Source organism: Homo sapiens, chromosome 8 (assembly GCF_000001405.40).
Source record: "Homo sapiens chromosome 8, GRCh38.p14 Primary Assembly".
NCBI classification, from domain to species: Eukaryota; Metazoa; Chordata; class Mammalia; order Primates; family Hominidae; genus Homo; species Homo sapiens.
In genome coordinates, this window is record NC_000008.11 from 123,846,168 (window position 1) to 123,866,272 (window position 20,105).

A 20,105-nucleotide genomic window follows, 5' to 3' on the forward strand; every position below is an offset into this window, starting at 1 on the left:
TTTATATTCTTACTGATTTTCTGCCTGTTTGATCTATCAATTATTGACAGAGGAATATTGAAACCTTCACTTCTATTATGTGGTAGATTTGTCGATTTATTTTTTTTAGTTCTATCAGTTTTTGCTTCATGAATTTTGATGCTTTTTTGTTATGTGCATACATGTTGAAGATTGTTATGTCTTGGAGAACTGACCCTTTTATCATTATGTAATGTCACTTTTCTTTTCCTGATAATTTTAATTATTCTGAAATTTACTTTGTCTGAAATTAATATATTTACTCCAGCTTTTTAAAATCAGTGTTAGCATGCTATAATTTTTCTCTTTACTTGTAACCTATTTAAGTCTTTACATTTAGTGAGTTGCTTGTAGGCAATATACAGCTAGGTCTTGCTTTTTTATCCACTTTGATAATCTGTCTTTTAATTGATATATTTAGACCTTTCACATTTAGAGTAATTATTGCTATAGTTGGATTAATATCTACCATGTTTCAAGCTGTTTTCTGTTCATTGCATTTGTTTTTTATCTTTTACCCCCATTTGGCATTTTCTGGAGTATTTTATATGATTTTATTTATGCCTCTTCTCTTAGCATATGAATTATGATGACATAAAGCTTTTTAGCTGGGCACAGTGCCTCATGCCTGTAATCCCAGCACTTTGGGAGACTGAGGCAGGTGGATCACTGAAAGCCAGGAGTTCGAGACCATCCTGGCCATCATGATGAAACCCCGTCTTCTCTAAAAATACAGAAATTAGCCAGATGTGATAGGCACCTGTAATCCCAGCTATTTTGGAGGCTGAGGCACAAGACTTGCTGGAACCTGGGAGGTGGAGGTTGCAGTGAGCCAAGATTGTGCTATTGCACTGCAGCCTGGGTGACAGAGTGAGACTCAGTCTCAAAAAAAAAAAAAAAAGAAAAAAGATTTTAGTGACTGTGCTAGAGTTTACCATTTACATTTTTAACTAAGCTAAATGTATTTTCAAATAAATTATACCCCACTTCAAGTATAATTCAAGTAGCTTATAATAGTGTATTCCCAATTCCTCCCTCTCATTTATTATGACTTTACTGTTATTTATTTTACTTATGTTTATGCCATAATCACCCAATAAATTACATCTATTACTTCTTTAAATAGTTATCTTTTTGATCAATTAGGAATATGAAAAATAATAGATTTTCTTTTATACATACTTTGAAAAAATTGCAAGCTTGAATATTGTTCTTCAAAACGGCTTGTATCAAGTGCAATATCTAAATTTATTCCAAAGCAGAGCTACCATTGTTGTCAAAAATCAAGAAGCTTTTCTTTTGATTGAGATCAGAAGTGAACAAAGAACAGAGATAACAGTCTATTACAAAACACCAGTTGTGCCTCATTCTTACTGCCCCACACCATCACACTTTTGCTTTGTGTTTTTGGAAAGAACCCTGCCATCCTTTTTCCTAAATTTAAATAATAATGAGGGCCACTGTTTTCAGAACATAAAATTTTACTTTCCATACGTTTCTTTCCTCTTTAATTACCTTAGTAGCTCCAGAAGTAGGCTAGCTAGATTTAGCAAATACAGATACAAGCTGTGCAGCTAAATTCGCATTTCAGGTAAATAACAATAAATAACTTTTTTTTTTTTTTTGAGATGGAGTCTTGCTCTGAAGTGCAGTGGCATGATCTCGGCTCACTGCAACCTCGGCCTCCTGGGTTCAAGTGACTCTCCTGCCTCAGTCTCCCAAGTGCTGTGATTACAGGCACACACCACCACGCCCAGCTAATTTTTTTGTGTTTTTAGCAGAGATGGGGTTTCGCCACGTTGGCCAGGCTGGTCTCAAACTCCTGACCTCAGGTGATCCGCCTGCCTCGGCTTCCCAAAGTGCTAGGATTACAGGTGTGAGCCACTGCATCTGGCCTAAATAACACATTTTTTAATACAAGTATGTTCTACGTCTCTGAAACTGATCTGAAACTCAAAGGTAATTGAATGTCTTGTATTTTACCAGGCAACTTGTCTAGAAGACCCTCATGTTAGTCTACCCAGTAGACTTCTTCCTTGCTGGGAGTAAAACAACCTGATTTTGTTTGGGAATCTACCCCTCCCTATGTGGATTTATTTCAGAAGTAATTCTTATTAGTCTAAATGAACCAGAGTTGTCCCATTCTCCTTGTCCATGATGGGTTTGGACATGAGTATGTGACTCAGTTCTTGACAATGGGATTTGAGAACCAAACTACTGACGTTGAGCTTCTGGGAAATGCTTTTCTTTGTTGATTAAAAGAGACATGTGAGAAGTTGGCCTCTCTCATTTCTTTGGATATTGTCCTGTCTGAACGTGATACCTGGAACTGTGGCAGCCATCTTGCAACCATGTGGGCAGGGAGGCTGCCGGAGGATGGCACAGCAGAGCACTGGGAATAACCTGGATCTCTGGTGATATCACAGACCCACTCAATTCAGCCTGAAGATACCTGAGCTTGGAACTTCTTACTTTGTGAGATAGTAACATTTCCTTATTTAAGCCATTTTCATTTGAGTTTTCAATTACAGGTAACCAAAAGCATCCTAAATGATAAAGTATTTATTAGACCAGAAAACTGAAGCTCAAATAGGTAAGTTATTCTGTGTTAGTAAAAAAGGAATTACTGGGGTTGAATTTAAACTCAGGCCTGTCCGACTTCAGTGTTCTCTCCATTATACTAATTCAAGCATTTCCATATAGTGTGGCTTTGGGCAAATTACATCACTTCTCTGAACTTAGACTTCCTTAGCTGCAAAGAGGGGCCGGAACTATTCCCTCACCATAATGTATTAAAGATGTAAAGATATACTGTTATTAGAAAGCACAGCATAAAAATGCCTAGTAAGCTTCCTTTAGCATAAAAATGCTTAGTAAAATTTCCTTCTTTCTTGCCTCTGTGCTTTTATTCTTAGGAATCTTCACTTACTCCTTATTGTGGGAGGTAGTGAATAGTTCTCTCATTTTAAAACAGGCTAGCATATTTTAAGAATTCATCTTATAAGAGCTAAGTTTCCAGTTTCTTGGAGCAACTTAGACCCTTGATTGCCTCAGTATTCATCCAAGAACACAGCCTATCAATTCAATGAGTTCTTTAGACTATGGGGATCACCCACAATTATATCTACATGCTGGAGCTTTTCCTTTAATCTTTTTAGGGTTCCTCAGTTCAGCCCAAATTACCCATCTCTAGTTTTCATGCCGTGAATGACAATCACAGCAGTGGAACAGCCCCTACCAGCAGCCTAGGCATAACAGTTCCCAGAGCCATGCTTTTTAATCATGGAGGGAGGAACATCAGTTTTGAGGATACTGGCTGAGTGACCTTGAACAGGTTGCCTAAGCATTCTGAGCTTCACTTTTCTCATCAGGAAAAAATGGGGATAATAAGAAGTCCCTCGGAGATTGATGCAAGGATTGAATAAGGTAAAGTGAGAGCATCCAGTGCATAGAAAGTAAACAGAATAGCATCACCTTCAGTAAGTCCTGCCACTTATGCACAGCTCAGCATCCTGTTATTATCACCTCTGCAGGTGCAATGTCATCTACCAAAATGTTCCTTTTTATAAAAAAATCCATGAAGAAGGGTTTCAGCCTTTCAGTCAGATGTCATTTGTCTCTAAAGACTGAGCTGTAATCAAATTTCCAGACCTGTTGTGTCCTGTAGGGAACATGAATTGGTCACAGCTCAATCAGATTCTCCATTCTTGCTGCCACCTCTCCAGCATCTGTGAATATGAATGAGAAGAATGGTGGGACACTAAGAGGCCCATGTGTGGGATTTGAGTAACTTGAAATCTGAGAAGTTAATTATATTCCATCTGATACAGCCCTCTAAATTAACTTGTACCTGCTGAGATCTCTCAATCCATTTCAAACACCAAGAAAAAGGATGAAATAAACTGAAATTTATTCTGAGATAAAATGTGTTTTTAATGAGAAGTTACAGAGAGAATAGTCTAAAAGGATCCTGGCTAGTTAGTGAGTCTATGTTCCCCTTCCCCGCAAAATCATTGCTCCAGCTGGGCTATATTTATGAAATAGCCCCTCAACCCTTCCCTTTCTCAGATGTCCTCACGAAATTGGAAGAATCATATACAATGTGTGTGTGTGTGTGTGTGTGTGTGTGTGTGTATGTATGTGCTTACACATGTCTGAAATGAACATTTCCAGTAGCCTCAGGAAACTCTTGTGCTTCTTCCTAATTAATGTCCCTCCTCAGAGGTAACCATTCTTCGTTTTTTTATTTTTTCTGAGACGGAGTCTTGCTCTGTTGCCCAGGCTGGAGAGCAGTGGCATGATCTCGGCTCACTGCAACCTCTGCCTCCCAGGTTCAAGCAGCTCTCTGCCTCTGTCTCCTGAGCAGCTGGGATTACAGGTGCCTGCCATCATGGCTGGCTAATTTTTGTATTTTTAGTAGAGATGGGGTTTCACCATCTTGGCCAGGCTGGTCTTGAACTCCTGACCTCATGATCTAACTCAGCCTCCCAAAGTGCTGGTATTACAGGTGTGAGCCACCGTGCCCAGCCGAGGCAACCATTATTTTGACTTTTATCACCTTTTGTGTATCTTTGAGTTTCATATATGTGGAATGATACAATTTGTACTCTTGTGTCTGGTTCCTTCCCTCATCAGTTTGTGAGACTAGTTCATGTTGTTGCTCATGGTCATAGTTTTTTTTTGTTTCTGTGTGATATTCCATTGTGAAAATATACTGAAATTTAGTTATCCTTTTTATGGCTGTTGGATATTTAGGTTGTTTTCAACTTTTGCGTATTATGAATATAGCCGCTATGAACATACTTGTGTTCTCAACTGGCCCTGGAATTCTTCTGTTTGCTAAAGTACCCCCAGGAAGTGTGTGCTAGAAGAAAAGGTTTGGGGAACTTGTGTTTTTGCATAACAATTCTTAATAAGAAAGTGCAAGAAATGTCGATCATTTCCCCGGGGGAGCAGGAGGGGAGAGGGAATGGTGATGGCTGTAGGTCTACTGGGCGCTGGAACCTCCACCAAATCTCCAGGGAATTTCTAGAGTCACGAAATGTTCTGTGTGAGGCAATGTACATATATGTACACAAATATGTTCACCACAAAATAAACTCATGACAATAACAGTCCTCATTTCTGTAACTGGGCACATGGTTGTACCTGATACTTAGAACTACCTTCTGCTACCCATTCTGAATTCCCTTTGTACTTGGCAAACCTTTCAGCTGGTTGAGGTTCTTTACCTGGTAGGATGACCCAAACCTTCATTCCTGAAGGGTCTGGGCCATTAGTAGTCCTGCGTGAATTGGATTATTGTAGTTTTCCATGAATTTAATCACAAATTTTAATCACAGGGTATGGTAATACTAAGAGATGCCCTAAGGGATCTCCTGTATTCCAGACATATTCTTTCTTGCCTCCATTGTGGAATAGTAGCACATTTTCCCCTTGGTAGTCAGGATCAGTCGCCCTAGACAACACCAAAACTTTGCCTGTCAATTCAGAGGTATGAGGAGCCCAAAGTGGCTGGCTGTGGCCTTAACTTTCAGTGCAATGGAATCACTGTTGTATCTGCTAGTGGAAGCATTCTTTTTTGGAACTAAGATCTCTAGGCTAACAGGATAATAAAGGAACAAGAGGCAAAAATTTTGCTAGTGAGTCATTAGGGGTAATAGCAAGTGGTGCCATCCCATTTTTACCCCTTGATCTCTGGACCCATGAGTCCTGACTAGCACCTGACTGGATGCTGATTCAAAGAATACACAGCTTTCTGTGGAATCTTGCCCCACTTCTGTAAAGTACTGTCACCTAGTTGGTGAGGTTGCCTGTAACTGACTTCAAAAGGCCATTCCACCATTCCGTCAAGCCAGCTGCTTTAGAACGGTTGGGAACACCGTGAGACCAGTGAATTCCACGAGCACGAACCCACTGCTGCGCTTCATTTGCTGTGAAGTGAGTCCCTTGATCAGAGCAATGCTGTGTGGACCATCGTGAAGGTGGACAAGGCATTTTGTAAGTCCATAGATAATAGATTCTACAGAAGCATTGTGTGCAGGGAAGGCAAGTTCATATCCAGAGCAAATGTGTATTCCAGTAAGGACAAAATGCTTCCCCTCCCTTCCACAATGGAAGCAGTCCAATGTAATCAACCTGCCTCCAGGTAGCTGGCTGGTCACCCCAGGGAATGGTGCCATATATTGGGGACTCAGCATTGGTCTCTGCTGTTGGCAGATTGGGTACTCAGTGGTCGCTGTAGCCAGGTTGACCTTGTTGCTTGAACTCCATGTTGTGAGCATGCGTGTGTGTGTGTGTGTGTGTGTGTGTGTGTGTGTGTGTGTGTTTGACAGAGACAGAGGGAGGAGAAAGAAGAGAGACTGGTAAAATTTTGGGGGATTATAGAGACAAAAAGCATGAGGAAGTTGCCTCAGGAACTCATAGAAAATGTGGGGCCTCTCACAAGATTGTTAGACTTTTAAAACATAAATTTTTATTTTACAGAAAAGTTGCAAAGATAATTGAGTTCTCTTAAATTTCTCACTCAGTTTTCCCTAATGGTAACATCTTATATTACCATGGTACATTTATGAAAATGAAGAAACTGAAAATGCAGCATTACTATTAACTAAGCTCCACGCTTTATTTGGATTTCACAAGTTTTTCCACGAATGTCTTTTTCTGTTCTAGGAGCCAGTCCAGAATCCCACATTGTAATTTTTGGAGATGGATTTTGAGGCAAATGTAATCATCCCTAAGGTTATATATCATATATCATATATGAAATATGTATTAGATATAGATGTATTCTATGTGTCTATTTAGCTACCTATCAGATCAATTTTATTCTTATTTTTGTAGAGACGGGGCCTCGCTATGTTGCTCAGGTTGGTCTCAAACTCCTGGGCTCAAGCGATCCTCCTGCCTCAGCCTTCCAAAGTGCTCGGATTACGTGCGTGAGCCACTGTGCCCACCCTCAGACTTTAAAATAGACGAAATCTTTTTTTGAGACAGTCTCACTCTATAGCCCAGGCTGGAGTGCAGTGGTACAATCTTGGCTCACTGCAGCCGCCACCTCCCAGGTTCAAGTGAGTCTCGTGCCTCAGGCTCCAGAATAGCTGGGATTACAGGTGCTTGCCATCACACCCGGCTAATTTCTGTATTTTTAGAGAAGACGGGGTTTCACCATGACGGCCAGGATGGTCTCAAACTTCTGACCTCAAACGATCCACCCACCTCAGCCTCCCAAAGTGCTGGGATTATAGGCGTGAGCCACCGTACCCGGCCTAAAATAGAAGAAATCATTTTTATTCAACAGTTCTTAGAAAGGTCTTAATGAGGAAATGATACAGATGATGATTTGGACCCAAGGCTGTTGAAAAATTGTTACTTTTTTCCTGGGGTATTGTATTAATCAGGGGAGATTTTACAAGGGTGGATGAGTAGAGAAAAAGGGGTAGGTACGCCTCACCACGGGCAAGCGTGGAGTAACATATTTTGAGAGAACCTATCCAAGTTGCACGTATGCAGGTGACATGCTCATGGCTATGATGAAGACCTGGAGGAGGAAAAGGCCAGAAAGCTGCAGACAACCCAACAGTGTCAAGCACAGAGGCTGGTTTTCACTGAGAACGATGTAAGAAGGAACAACATCGCGGCCTTGATGAAGCCACAGTGATGCTACCCAGGGACTCTGCAGAGCTGCCAGTCTCCTGCAACTCCACAGAGCCTGGACAGGGCAGCAGAAGGTGCACCTCTGAGGAGCAAAGGATGCAGGGCTTCTGTGGGCCTGGCTCTCAGGGAAGCATCAGGGACCGTGATTAGAAAGTTTACGTCTGAGTGCTGGCCCTTCAGTAAAGGCCTGTGTGACTTCTGGCAGGCTCCTGTCAGTCCTGAGTCTCTTCATCTATAAAATGAAAAGACGTCTGGTGAGATGGTTTCTCAGGACAGTTACGGCTCCAACATGATGCCACGGCAATTATAACATAAACAATGCCTTATGTTTGTAAATGATCTAGGCTTTTCTGAGCTGTTTCGAGGAAGTTATTGCATTTTATCCTTATGACAACACTGAGAGGATGAGAAAAAAATATTACCTGCATTTTATTACTCCTTTCCCCAGTAGGGTGTTGATACCCTCTAGATCATTCCAAGCTCTGGGGAAATCCAAGGCTCCTCCCACAGTGCACACCCAGATGTCTGCGTGTTCTGGGAGATTATGTGGTTGCAGTCACAGTCACTTTCCTTCTGGGCTGTCACAGCTTCATCTCGGATCTCTGCTGTGTAGCATGTCAACTCAAATGTGAAACTTAGATTCATTGCCACAAAAGAGTCCATCACACTGTGTTTCTGAGTGTGGTGGTCTATGATGGGGATTGGGACAGAGGGCCAATGGAGGAGGTGTTCCCATTTCAGGAATGTGAATAGAACAGGGGACCGAAGGGTATCTTCTGTCCCTTTATTACCAAGGGTGTCTTCACAGGCCCTTCTCATTTTGTCTAAGCCTTGGGGATGGGCTCTCAGCAGAACAAAGAAAGAAGCCCATTCTGGGAGGAGGAAGCAGCTTGAGCAGAGGTGACTGTGGGGACTGCCAGGCATGGTGGGGGATAGCGGGAGACTGTGGGAGTGAAACTGGGAGTGAAAGCCAATCTCTCCAGGCTTCCTGGCACTGCGTTTATTCTTCTGCTATACACTTACCATAATCTGTCTCGTATCCTAGTTTGTTAAAATTTTTATTGAAGTGAAATTCATGTAACATAACTATTTCAAAGTGTACAGTTCCGCAGCATTCGGTACATTCACAATGGCTTACAATCATCACCTCTACCTAGTTCTAAAGCAGTTTTAGCTCCAAAGGAGACCCTATTACTCTCAGCTTTCCCTCTTCAATCGGCCCTGGGTCACAATGAATCTGCATTTTGTCCATACGGATTTACCTATTTTGGAGATTTCATATAAATGGAATCGAAGGTTGCCCAGGGGACAGATGAAAAGGCTGGAATTTAGCTCAAACAGTTCAGGATCCAGGACAGTTCCAGGCATCATGGGAGAGGGATGCTGTGATGCGTGCTCTCAGTTCTTTTATGTGTTTGGGGAGCCTGACTGGAATGGATAGTAGGTGGCCACAAAACCACAAATGGCATTCCATTTAAAACTGCGAGCTCCTGGCAGGCAGGGAGTTGGTTTGATTTTTTGCTGTGTCCTCTGCTCTGGGCCTTGAGTAGCCTTGGTAAGTTCTGGTTCTAACTTAAACAATACATAGAGGTTGGTGCCATGGAGGGCAGGCGTAGAGCAGAGGGTTGGTTAGAGCCCACTGAGTTCTCATCCAGGGCATTAGTATGGAATGGGAAAAAGGGAGTGGGCAATAGTTGGATGTGTGGGTTTATGTCCTGACTCTGCCATGGACCAAAAACATGATCTTGGGCCGGCTGTCTTCCCACTGGACCCCACAAAGTTGTAAACAGAGTGGAGCAAGAGAACGGATGTGAAGGAGACTTTTAAAGTGAAAACCATATGTGTGTGTGTGTGTGTGTGTATATGTACACACACACACACACACATATACGTAATATGTGTGTATGTGTGTATATATATGTGTGTGTATATATATGTGTGTGTGTGTATATATATATATATGTGTATATATATCAGCACAGTAGGGCTGGTCATATGGGCCAGCCCCATATGACCCTAATATATTATGTATTAATGTATATAACTAATGTATATTATTACTAATTATATTAGTATATTGTATATATTACTAATATGTAACTAATGTAGTATATATATTACAGATATACATATGTATATGAGATATATGTATATACATATGTATATGAGATATATGTATATACATATGTATATGAGATATATGTATATACATATGTGTATGAGATATATGTATATACATATGTGTATGAGATATATGTATATACATATGTGTATGAGATATATGTATATACATATGTGTATGAGATATATGTATATACATATGTGTATGAGATATATGTATATACATATGTGTATGAGATATATGTATATACATATGTGTATGAGATATATGTATATACATGTGTATGAGATATATGTATATATGTGTATATGTGTATATATGTGTGTGTGTATATATATATATATATGTATGTGTATATATATATATATATATATATATATATATATTAGGGTCCAGGCCTCATACTAACATATAGAACACAATCTTCAAATCTGCAGAGCTTTCAGCAAGCATATCTTTCTGTGAGAGAAGGAAGAACTTGGGTCCAGTTCCAAGCTCTTTCATGTCTTAGCAGCCGTGCCCTTGTGTAAGTCATTTAATCACACTGAGCTTCAATTTCCTCATCTGCAAAATGAAGTTAATGCGATTGTTTACTTGGTGTGGTGGTGTTTCATTGCCATTATTCTTAGCATTCCTGTTGAATGCTTTTGACAAGAGATTTCAGAAACACTTCCTCATCATGTCCCCGACTGCCTGGCACCTCTATATATGAGGGCACAACTGCTTCTGTCTGCTTGGATGAAGAGTAGCAAGTTAGCACCACACATTAACTATGTGCAGTGCAAATGGATTATTTTCACAGAATTTAGTATCAAGTTATACCCCATTCCCGTTTATTTGCTTTTACACCAGGGGAGTAGAACCATTGTTAGAAAAAAAATGTCCCACTATTGCGGTGTGATGCATCACTGGGCAAGCTGGGCGGGTCAGATGGAGATGGGGCAGACCAGCCCCACTGTGCTGATGTTGGTAACTGCTCAGATGAGATGCCTTGACAAGCGTGGGAAAGACAGTAGATTCCATTCATCTCCTGGGTATCCTCATTGACACAGTGCCTGATTTATGGAAAGTCTGAACTCCACAGAGGGTACAAGTAGAGAATGTCTTTACTTTTTCCAACCACTGCCATCTCTTACTCTGATGGATTTTTCTTCCCAGCCCTGTGAAAAATCAGAAAAATCTCATTGTTCTCTGTGATTTTAGTTATTAGAATGTTTTGTTTTGGTGATCATGATTTATATTTAATTATTAAAAAGTAGTCCAGGCCTTGGCACGATGGCTCATGCCTGTAATCTCAGCACTTTGGGAGGCCAAGGCAGGAGGATCACTTGAGGCCAGGAGTTCAAGACCAGCATGGGTGACAGAGACTCCATATCTACAAAAAAATTTTTTAAAAATTAGCCAGACATTGTGGCATGCACCTGTAGTCCTAGCTACTCAGGAGGCTGAGGCAGAGGGATCACCAGAGCCCAGGAGTTCAAGGTTACAATGAGATATGATCACACCACTGCACTCCAGCCTGGGCAACAGGGTGAGACACTATCTCAGAAAAAAATCCAGTCTGGTGTAAATCAAAATTTTAACATCATATGCAGTTAAAACTTTTTCCTTCCCTCCCAGTTCAGTACTAACCTGTTAGGAATGCTCTACTCTTTCTCTCTTCCTATCACCCCTCCTGTTCCTGGCTCTTACAGTGTGTCAGATGGATGGGCTCGTCCTGGTGGCCGGCCTCTGAAGTGGGTACCAGCAGCAGTGGTGCAGTGGCTGTCCTCCATGAGGCCCCTCAGCCAGCAGGTTCTTGGAGGCCACCGCCCTTCCACTGCCCTCTCTCCTCTTCCTGAGGTTCTACCCTGTTCCTACTGCCGGAATTTTCTGGACAAAAAGCAGAAACTAATTTATATGTTCACGTCTGTTCTCAAGCTCCTGGGGACTGATAAACTCTCCAAAAGCTGAACACATTTCACTCCAGAGTGGCCCTGGCACTTAGCATCTCACCTGTGAGTGAGGTGTCAGGTTCCCCTTCCTGCAGGCATCCCCACATTTTTTTGAAGAGTCTTTGGAGCCCTCCTCATTTGGCCAGGGACTGGGGGTCATCCCTTCCCCTCCTTCATGGGAAACAGGAGAGGAAATGCTCCCCACTCTTCTCTGGCGACTCCCTCCTCTGATGGGTTCTCCTACTTTAACCAGGTTCCTTTAAATGACACTTTAAGAACAATTACATAGGCTGATAAGGATGGTGAGGTGAGGGTCTCAAGGCCAGTTTGGCACCTCCTAGACAGTTCTGGAGATGGCGTCTGTCAGGTTCTTGGTGCTGTTTTTAGAATATAGGAGAATATTATCTATTCTCTTAAACTTTGAGATCTTAGCTAAAATTTTTAGACACAGCAGAAGTCAATATGCTAAGAGGCTGTGAGTGTTTGGAAGATGTATTAGTTAAGGCAGTGCTAGCTGCTGTAACAGATATACCTGAAATCCCAGTGGCTTAAAGTGCCAGATGCTTATTTCTTGCTGACTGGCAGTCTAGTCACTAGTGGAATGAGGTTGGGTCCTGGATTGATGGGGACTGTGCCATCTTCAACACCTGCTGGCAGATGAGGAAAGAGAGAAAGGAAGTGGAAGATCAGATGCAAGGGTTTAGCAGTCCAGACATGGGCATGGCATCTGTCACTTCTCTTCATATACTTTGGCCACAACTCAGTGATGCAATCACAACTAACTGCAAGGGAGACTGGGAAACATGACTCACTAGACGACCAGGAAGAAGGTGAGACGGCTTGAGAAGCAGTGGATCAGTCTCTGGCACCAAAGCTTTCAATCAATGATCAACCTTCAGAGTTTAGGATAGTGGAAAGCCAGCTCTGGAAGGGATGGTAGAGGTCATTTAGGCCAGAAGTTTTCCACCAGGGCGGTATTGCCCCTGTAGGGACCACTCATTTGGAAGTAGGTGGTGCTGTTTTAAAAAATGTTTTTAAAAAATTTTAATTGACAAATAATTGTGTGCATATATGTAGAGGACAATGTAATGTTATTTATTCATTTATTCATTTTTTTTTTTGAGACGGAGTCTCATTCTGTCACACAGGCTGGAGTGCAGTGGCACATCTGGGCTCACTGCAACCTCTGCCTCCTGGACTCAAGCAATCCTCCTTTCTCAGCCTGCAGAGTAGCTGGGACCACAGGTGTGCACCTCCACGCCCAGCTAATTTTCTTATTTTTTGGTAGACATGGGGTTTTGCCACATTGTACAGGCTGGTCTCAAACTCCTGAGCTTAAGCAGTCTGCCTGCCTTGGCTTCCCAAAGTGCTGGGATTACAGGCATGAGCCACCATGCCTAGCCTATTTATTTATTTTCAATGTGATGTTTTGATCTATGTGTACATTATGGAAAGAGTCAGTCAAGCTAATCCATCACCTCACCAATTTATCGCTTTTTTGTGTGTGGTGAGAATGTTAAAAATCTATCTTAGCAACTTTGAATTCCAGTCTAACTGAAACTTTCTACACTATGATCCATATCCTCCTTTTCCCCATCCCTCCTCCTCCCACAAATCTCAGCCTCTCGTAACCACCTTTCTGCTCTGTTTCTTTTTTTTTTTTTTTTTAATACTTTAAGTTTTAGGGTACATGTGCACAATGTGCAGGTTAGTTACATATGTATACATGTACCATGCTGGTGCGCTGCACCCACTAACTCGTCATCTAGCATTAGGTATATCTCCCAATGCTATCCCCTCCCCCTTCCCCCCACCCCACAACAGTCCCCAGAGTGTGATATTCCCCTTCCTGTGTCCATGTGATCTCATTGTTCAATTCCCACCTATGAGTGAGAATATGCGGTGTTTGGTTTTTTGTTCTTGCGATAGTTTACTGAGAATGATGATTTCCAATTTCATCCATGTCCCTACAAAGGACATGAACTCATCATTTTTTATGGCTGCATAGTATTCCATGGTGTATATGTGCCACATTTTATTTATTTATTTATTTATTTTTATTATTATTATTACTATTATTATTATTATTTTTTTAATTATACTTTAAGTTTTAGGGTACATGTGCACTTTGTGCAGGTTAGTTACATATGTATACATGTGCCATGCTGGTGCACTGCACCCACTAACTCGTCATCTAGCATTAGGTATATCTCCCAATGCTATCCCTCCCCCCTCCCCCCTCCCCACCACAGTCCCCAGAGTGTGATATTCCCCTTCCTGTGTCCATGTGATCTCATTGTTCAATTCCCACCTATGAGTGAGAATATGCGGTGTTTGGTTTTTTGTTCTTGCGATAGTTTACTGAGAATGATGGTTTCCAATTTCATCCATGTCCCTACAAAGGACATGAACTCATCATTTTTTATGGCTGCATAGTATTCTATGGTGTATATGTGCCACATTTTCTTAATCCAGTCTATCATTGTTGGACATTTGGGTTGGTTCCAAGTCTTTGCTATTGTGAATAATGCCGCAATAAACATACGTGTGCATGTGTCTTTATAGCAGCATGATTTATAGTCATTTGGGTATATACCCAGTAATGGGATGGCTGGGTCAAATGGTATTTCTACTTCTAGATCCCTGAGGAATCGCCACACTGACTTCCACAATGGTTGAACTAGTTTACAGTCCCACCAACAGTGTAAAAGTGTTCCTATTTCTCCACATCCTCTCCAGCACCTGTTGTTTCCTGACTTTTTAATGATTGCCATTCTAACTGGTGTGAGATGATATCTCATAGTGGTTTTGATTTGCATTTCTCTGATGGCCAGTGATGATGAGCATTTTTTCATGTGTTTTTTGGCTGCATAAATGTCTTCTTTTGAGAAGTGTCTGTTCATGTCCCTTGCCCACTTTTTGATGGGGTTGTTTGTTTTTTTCTTGTAAATTTGTTTGAGTTCATTGTAGATTCTGGATATTAGCCCTTTGTCAGATGAGTAGGTTGCGAAAATTTTCTCCCATGTTGTAGGTTGCCTGTTCACTCTGATGGTAGTTTCTTTTGCTGTGCAGAAGCTCTTTAGTTTAATTAGATCCCATTTGTCAATTTTGGCTTTGGTTGCCATTGCTTTTGGTGTTTTGGACATGAAGTCCTTGCCCACGCCTATGTCCTGAATGGTAATGCCTAGGTTTTCTTCTAGGGTTTTTATGGTTTTAGGTCTAACGTTTAAATCTTTAATCCATCTTGAATTGATTTTTGTATAAGGTGTAAGGAAGGGATCCAGTTTCAGCTTTCTACGTATGGCTAGCCAGTTTTCCCAGCACCATTTATTAAATAGGGAATCCTTTCCCCATTGCTTGTTTTTCTCAGGTTTGTCAAAGATCAGATAGTTGTAGGTATGCGGCGTTATTTCTGAGGGCTCTGTTCTGTTCCATTGATCTATATCTCTGTTTTGGTACCAGTACCATGCTGTTTTGGTTACTGTATCCTTGTAGTATAGTTTGAAGTCAGGTGGTGTGATGCCTCCAGCTTTGTTCTTTTGGCTTAGGATTGACTTGGCGATGCGGGCTCTTTTTTGGTTCCATATGAACTTTAAAGTAGTTTTTTCCAATTCTGTGAAGAAAGTCATTGGTAGCTTGATGGGGATGGCATTGAATCTGTAAATTACCTTGGGCAGTATGGCCATTTTCACGATATTGATTCTTCCTACCCATGAGCATGGAATGTTCTTCCATTTGTTTGTATCCTCTTTTATTTCCTTGAGCAGTGGTTTGTAGTTCTCCTTGAAGAGGTCCTTCACATCCCTTGTAAGTTGGATTCCTAGGTATTTTATTCTCTTTGAAGCAATTGTGAATGGGAGTTCACTCATGATTTGGCTCTCTGTCTGTTGTTGGTGTATAGGAATGCTTGTGATTTTTGTACATTGATTTTGTATCCTGAGACTTTGCTGAAGTTGCTTATCAGCTTAAGGAGATTTGGGGCTGAGACGATGGGGTTTTCTAGATAAACAATCATGTCGTCTGCAAACAGGGACAATTTGACTTCCTCTTTTCCTAATTGAATACCCTTTATTTCCTTCTCCTGCCTGATTGCCCTGGCCAGAACTTCCAACACTATGTTGAATAGGAGTGGTGAGAGAGGGCATCCCTGTCTTGTGCCAGTTTTCAAAGGGAATGCTTCCAGTTTTTGCCCATTCAGTATGATATTGGCTGTGGGTTTGTCATAGATAGCTCTTATTATTTTGAAATACGTCCCATCAATACCTAATTTATTGAGAGTTTTTAGCATGAAGGGTTGTTGAATTTTGTCAAAGGCTTTTTCTGCATCTATTGAGATAATCATGTGGTTTTTGTCTTTGGCTCTGTTTATATGCTGGATTGCATTTATTGATTTGCGTATAGTGAACCAGCCTTGCATCCCAGGGATGAAGCCCACTTGATCATGGTGGATAAGCTTTTTGATGTGCTGCTGGATTCGGTTTGCCAGTATTTTATTGAGGATTTTTGCATCAATGTTCATCAAGGATATTGGTCCAAAATCCTCTTTTTTGGTTGTGTCTCTGCCTGGCTTTGGTATCAGAATGATGCTGGCCTCATAAAATGAGTTAGGGAGGATTACCTCTTTTTCTATTGATTGGAATAGTTTCAGAAGGAATGGTACCAGTTCCTCCTTGTACCTCTGGTAGAATTCGGCTGTGAATCCATCTGGTCCTGGACTCTTTTTGGCTGGTAAACTATTGATTATTGCCACAATTTCAGCTCCTGTTATTGGTCTATTCAGAGATTCAACTTCTTCCTGGTTTAGTCTTGGGAGAGTGTATGTGTCGAGGAATGTATCCATTTCTTCTAGATTTTCTAGTTTATTTGCGTAGAGGTGTTTGTAGTATTCTCTGATGGTAGTTTGTATTTCGGTGGGATCGGTGGTGATATCCCCTTTATCATTTTTTATTGTGTCTATTTGATTCTTCTCTCTCTTTTTCTTTATTAGTCTTGCTAGCAGTCTATCAATTTTGTTGATCCTTTCAAAAAACCAGCTCCTGGATTCATTGATTTTTTGAAGGGTTTTTTGTGCCTCTATTTCCTTCAGTTCTGCTCAGATTTTAGTTATTTCTTGCCTTCTGCTAGCTTTTGAATGTGTTTGCTCTTGCTTTTCTAGTTCTTTTAATTGTGATGTCAGGGTGTCAATTTTGGATCTTTCCTGCTTTCTCTTGTGGGCATTTAGTGCTATAAATTTCCCTCTACACACTGCTTTGAATGCATCCCAGAGATTCTGGTATGTTGTGTCTTTGTTCTCGTTGGTTTCAAAGAACATCTTTATTTCTGCCTTCATTTCGTTATGTACCCAGTAGTCATTCAGGAGCAGGTTGTTCAGTTTCCATGTAGTTGAGCGGCTTTGAGTGAGATTCTTAATCCTGAGTTCTAGTTTGATTGCACTGTGGTCTGAGAGATAGTTTGTTATAATTTCTGTTCTTTTACATTTGCTGAGGAGAGCTTTACTTCCAAGTATGTGGTCAATTTTGGAATAGGTGTGGTGTGGTGCTGAAAAAAATGTATATTCTGTTGATTTGGGGTGGAGAGTTCTGTAGATGTCTATTAGGTCCACTTGGTGCAGAGCTGAGTTCAATTCCTGGGTATCCTTGTTGACTTTCTGTCTCATTGATCTGTCTAATGTTGACAGTGGGGTGTTAAAGTCTCCCATTATTAATGTGTGGGAGTCTAAGTCTCTTTGTAGGTCACTCAGGACTTGCTTTATGAATCTGGGTGCTCCTGTATTGGGTGCATATATATTTAAGATAGTTAGCTCTTCTTGTTGAATTGATCCCTTTACCATTATGTAATGGCCTTCTTTGTCTCTTTTGATCTTTGTTGGTTTAAAGTCTGTTTTATCAGAGACTAGGATTGCAACCCCTGCCTTTTTTTATTTTCCATTTGCTTGGTAGATCTTCCTCCATCCTTTTATTTTGAGCCTATGTGTGTCTCTGCATGTGAGATGGGTTTCCTGAGTACAGCACACTGATGGGTCTTGACTCTTTATCCAACTTGCCAGTCTGTGTCTTTTAATTGGAGAATTTAGTCCATTTACATTTAAAGTTAATATTGTTATGTGTGAATTTGATCCTGTCATTATGATGTTAGCTGGTTATTTTGCTCGTTAGTTGATGCAGTTTCTTCCTAGTCTCGATGGTCTTTACATTTTGGCATGATTTTGCAGCGGCTGGTACCGGTTGTTCCTTTCCATGTTTAGCGCTTCCTTCAGGAGCTCTTTTAGGGCAGGCCTGGTGGTGACAAAATCTCAGCATTTGCTTGTTTGTAAAGTATTTTATTTCTCCTTCACTTATGAAGCTTAGTTTGGCTGGATATGAAATTCTGGGTTGAAAATTCTTTTCTTTAAGAATGTTGAATATTGGCCCCCACTCTCTTCTGGCTTGTAGGGTTTCTGCCTAGAGATCCGCTGTTAGTCTGATGGGCTTCCCTTTGAGGGTAACCCGACCTTTCTCTCTGGCTGCCCTTAACATTTTTTCCTTCATTTCAACTTTGGTGAATCTGACAATTATGTGTCTTGGAAAGTTGCTCTTCTCGAGGAGTATCTTTGTGGCGTTCTCTGTATTTCCTGAATCTGAACGTTGGCCTGCCTTGCTAGATTGGGGAAGTTCTCCTGGATAATATCCTGCAGAGTGTTTTCCAACTTGGTTCCATTCTCCGCATCACTTTCAGGTACACCAATCAGATGTAGATTTGGTCTTTTCACATAGTCCCATATTTCTTGGAGGCTTTGCTCATTTCTTTTTATTCTTTTTTCTCTAAACTTCCCTTCTCGCTTCATTTCATTCATTTCATCTTCCATTGCTGATACCCTTTCTTCCAGTTGATCGCATCGGCTCCTGAGGCTTCTGCATTCTTCACGTAGTTCTCAAGCCTTGGTTTTCAGCTCCATCATCTCCTTTAAGCATTTCTCTGTATTGGGTATTCTAGTTATACATTCTTCTAAATTTTTTTCAAAGTTTTCAACTTCTTTGCCTTTGGTTTGAATGTCCTCCTGTAGCTCAGAGTAATTTGATCGTCTGAAGCCTTCCTCTCTCAGCTCCTCAAAATCATTCTCCATCCAGCTTTGTTCCATTGCTGGTGAGGAGCTGCGTTCCTTTGGAGGAGGAGAGGTGCTCTGTGTTTTAGAGTTTCCAGTTTTTCTGTTCTGTTTTTTCCCCATCTTTGTGGTTTTATCTACTTTTGGTCTTTGATGATGGTGATGTACAGATGGGTTTTCGGTGTGGATGTCCTTTCTGTTTGTTAGTTTTCCTTCTAACAGACAGGACCCTCAGCTGCAGGTCTGTTGGAATACCCTGCAGTGTGAGGTGTCAGTGTGCCCCTGCTGGGGGGTGCCTCCCAGTTAGGCTGCTCAGGGGTCAGGGGTCAGGGACCCACTTGAGGAGGCAGTCTGCCCGTTCTCAGATCTCCAGCTGCGTGCTGGGAGAACCACTGCTCTCTTCAAAGCTGTCAGACAGGGACATTTAAGTCTGCAGAGGTTACTGCTGTCTTTTTGTTTGTCTGTGCCCTGCCCCCAGAGGTGGAGCCTACAGAGGCATGCAGACCTCCTTGAGCTGTGGTGGGCTCCACCCAGTTTGAGCTTCCAGGCTGCTTTGTTTACCTAAGCAAGCCTGGGCAATGGCGGGCGCCCCTCCCCCAGCCTCGCTGCCACCTTGCAGTTTGATCTCAGACCGCTGTGCTAGCAATCAGCGAGATTCCGTGGGCGTAGGACCCTCCGAGCCAGGTGTGGGATATAGTCTCGTGGTGAGCCGTTTTTTAAGCCGGTCTGAAAAGCGCAATATTCGGGTGGGAGTGACCCGATTTTCCAGGTGCGTCCGTCACCCCTTTCTTTGACTCGGAAAGGGAACTCCCTGACCACTTGCGCTTCCCAGGTGAGGCAATGCCTCGCCCTGCTTTGGCTCACGCACGGTGCGCGCACCCACTGGCCTGCGCCCACTGTCTGGCACTCCCTAGTGAGATGAACCCGGTACCTCAGATGGAAATGCAGAAATCACCCGTCTTCTGCGTCGCTCACGCTGGGAGCTGTAGACCGGAGCTGTTCCTATTCGGCCATCTTGGCTCCTCCCCCCCACATTTTCTTAATCCAGTCTATCACTGTTGGACATTTGGGTTGGTTCCAAGTCTTTGCTATTGTGAATAATGCCGCAATAAACATACGTGTGCATGTGTCTTTATAGCAGCATGATTTATGCTCTGTTTCTATGAGGTCGACTTTTTTAGATTCCACATATAGGTGAGATTATACGGTATTTGTCTTTTTGTGCCTTGCTTATTTTACTTAGCACGGTGTCCTTCCTTTCCATCCATGTTGTCACAGATGTCAGCATTTCCTT

General features: G+C 41.8%; 1 protein-coding gene and 1 long non-coding RNA gene across 3 annotated transcripts in view, besides 1 other annotated feature; one reads left to right on the forward strand and one right to left on the reverse strand.

Moving 5' to 3' along the window:
* Nucleotides 5,384–5,532: a silencer, noted in NCBI's record as "fragment chr8:124863791-124863939 (GRCh37/hg19 assembly coordinates)". NCBI's record gives its function as "represses an EF-1alpha promoter that drives an FKBP-Casp9 reporter gene in an ReSE screen in phorbol 12-myristate 13-acetate-treated (for megakaryocytic differentiation) K562 erythroleukemia cells {active_cell/tissue: K562(+PMA)}" and the evidence as "EXISTENCE:reporter gene assay evidence [ECO:0000049][PMID:32094911]".
* The window catches only part of FER1L6 (fer-1 like family member 6), a 268,075-nt gene continuing 253,789 nt past the window's right edge, over nt 5,820–20,105 (forward strand). The window contains exon 1 of the mRNA NM_001039112.2: nt 5,820–6,018. The gene's annotated coding sequence lies outside the window, so the exon portion shown is untranslated. The remainder of the gene's footprint in view (nt 6,019–20,105) is intronic.
* LOC124902014 (uncharacterized) lies at nt 10,608–19,781 on the reverse strand. Of its 2 annotated transcripts, none has more exons than XR_007061085.1 (2): nt 19,743–19,781; nt 10,608–10,956 (listed from the first exon to the last, which is right to left on the reverse strand). It is a non-coding gene; the product is annotated as an uncharacterized LOC124902014 (long non-coding RNA). The 2 variants fall into 2 exon arrangements; XR_007061084.1 differs by lacking the exon at nt 19,743–19,781 and adding an exon at nt 12,263–12,350.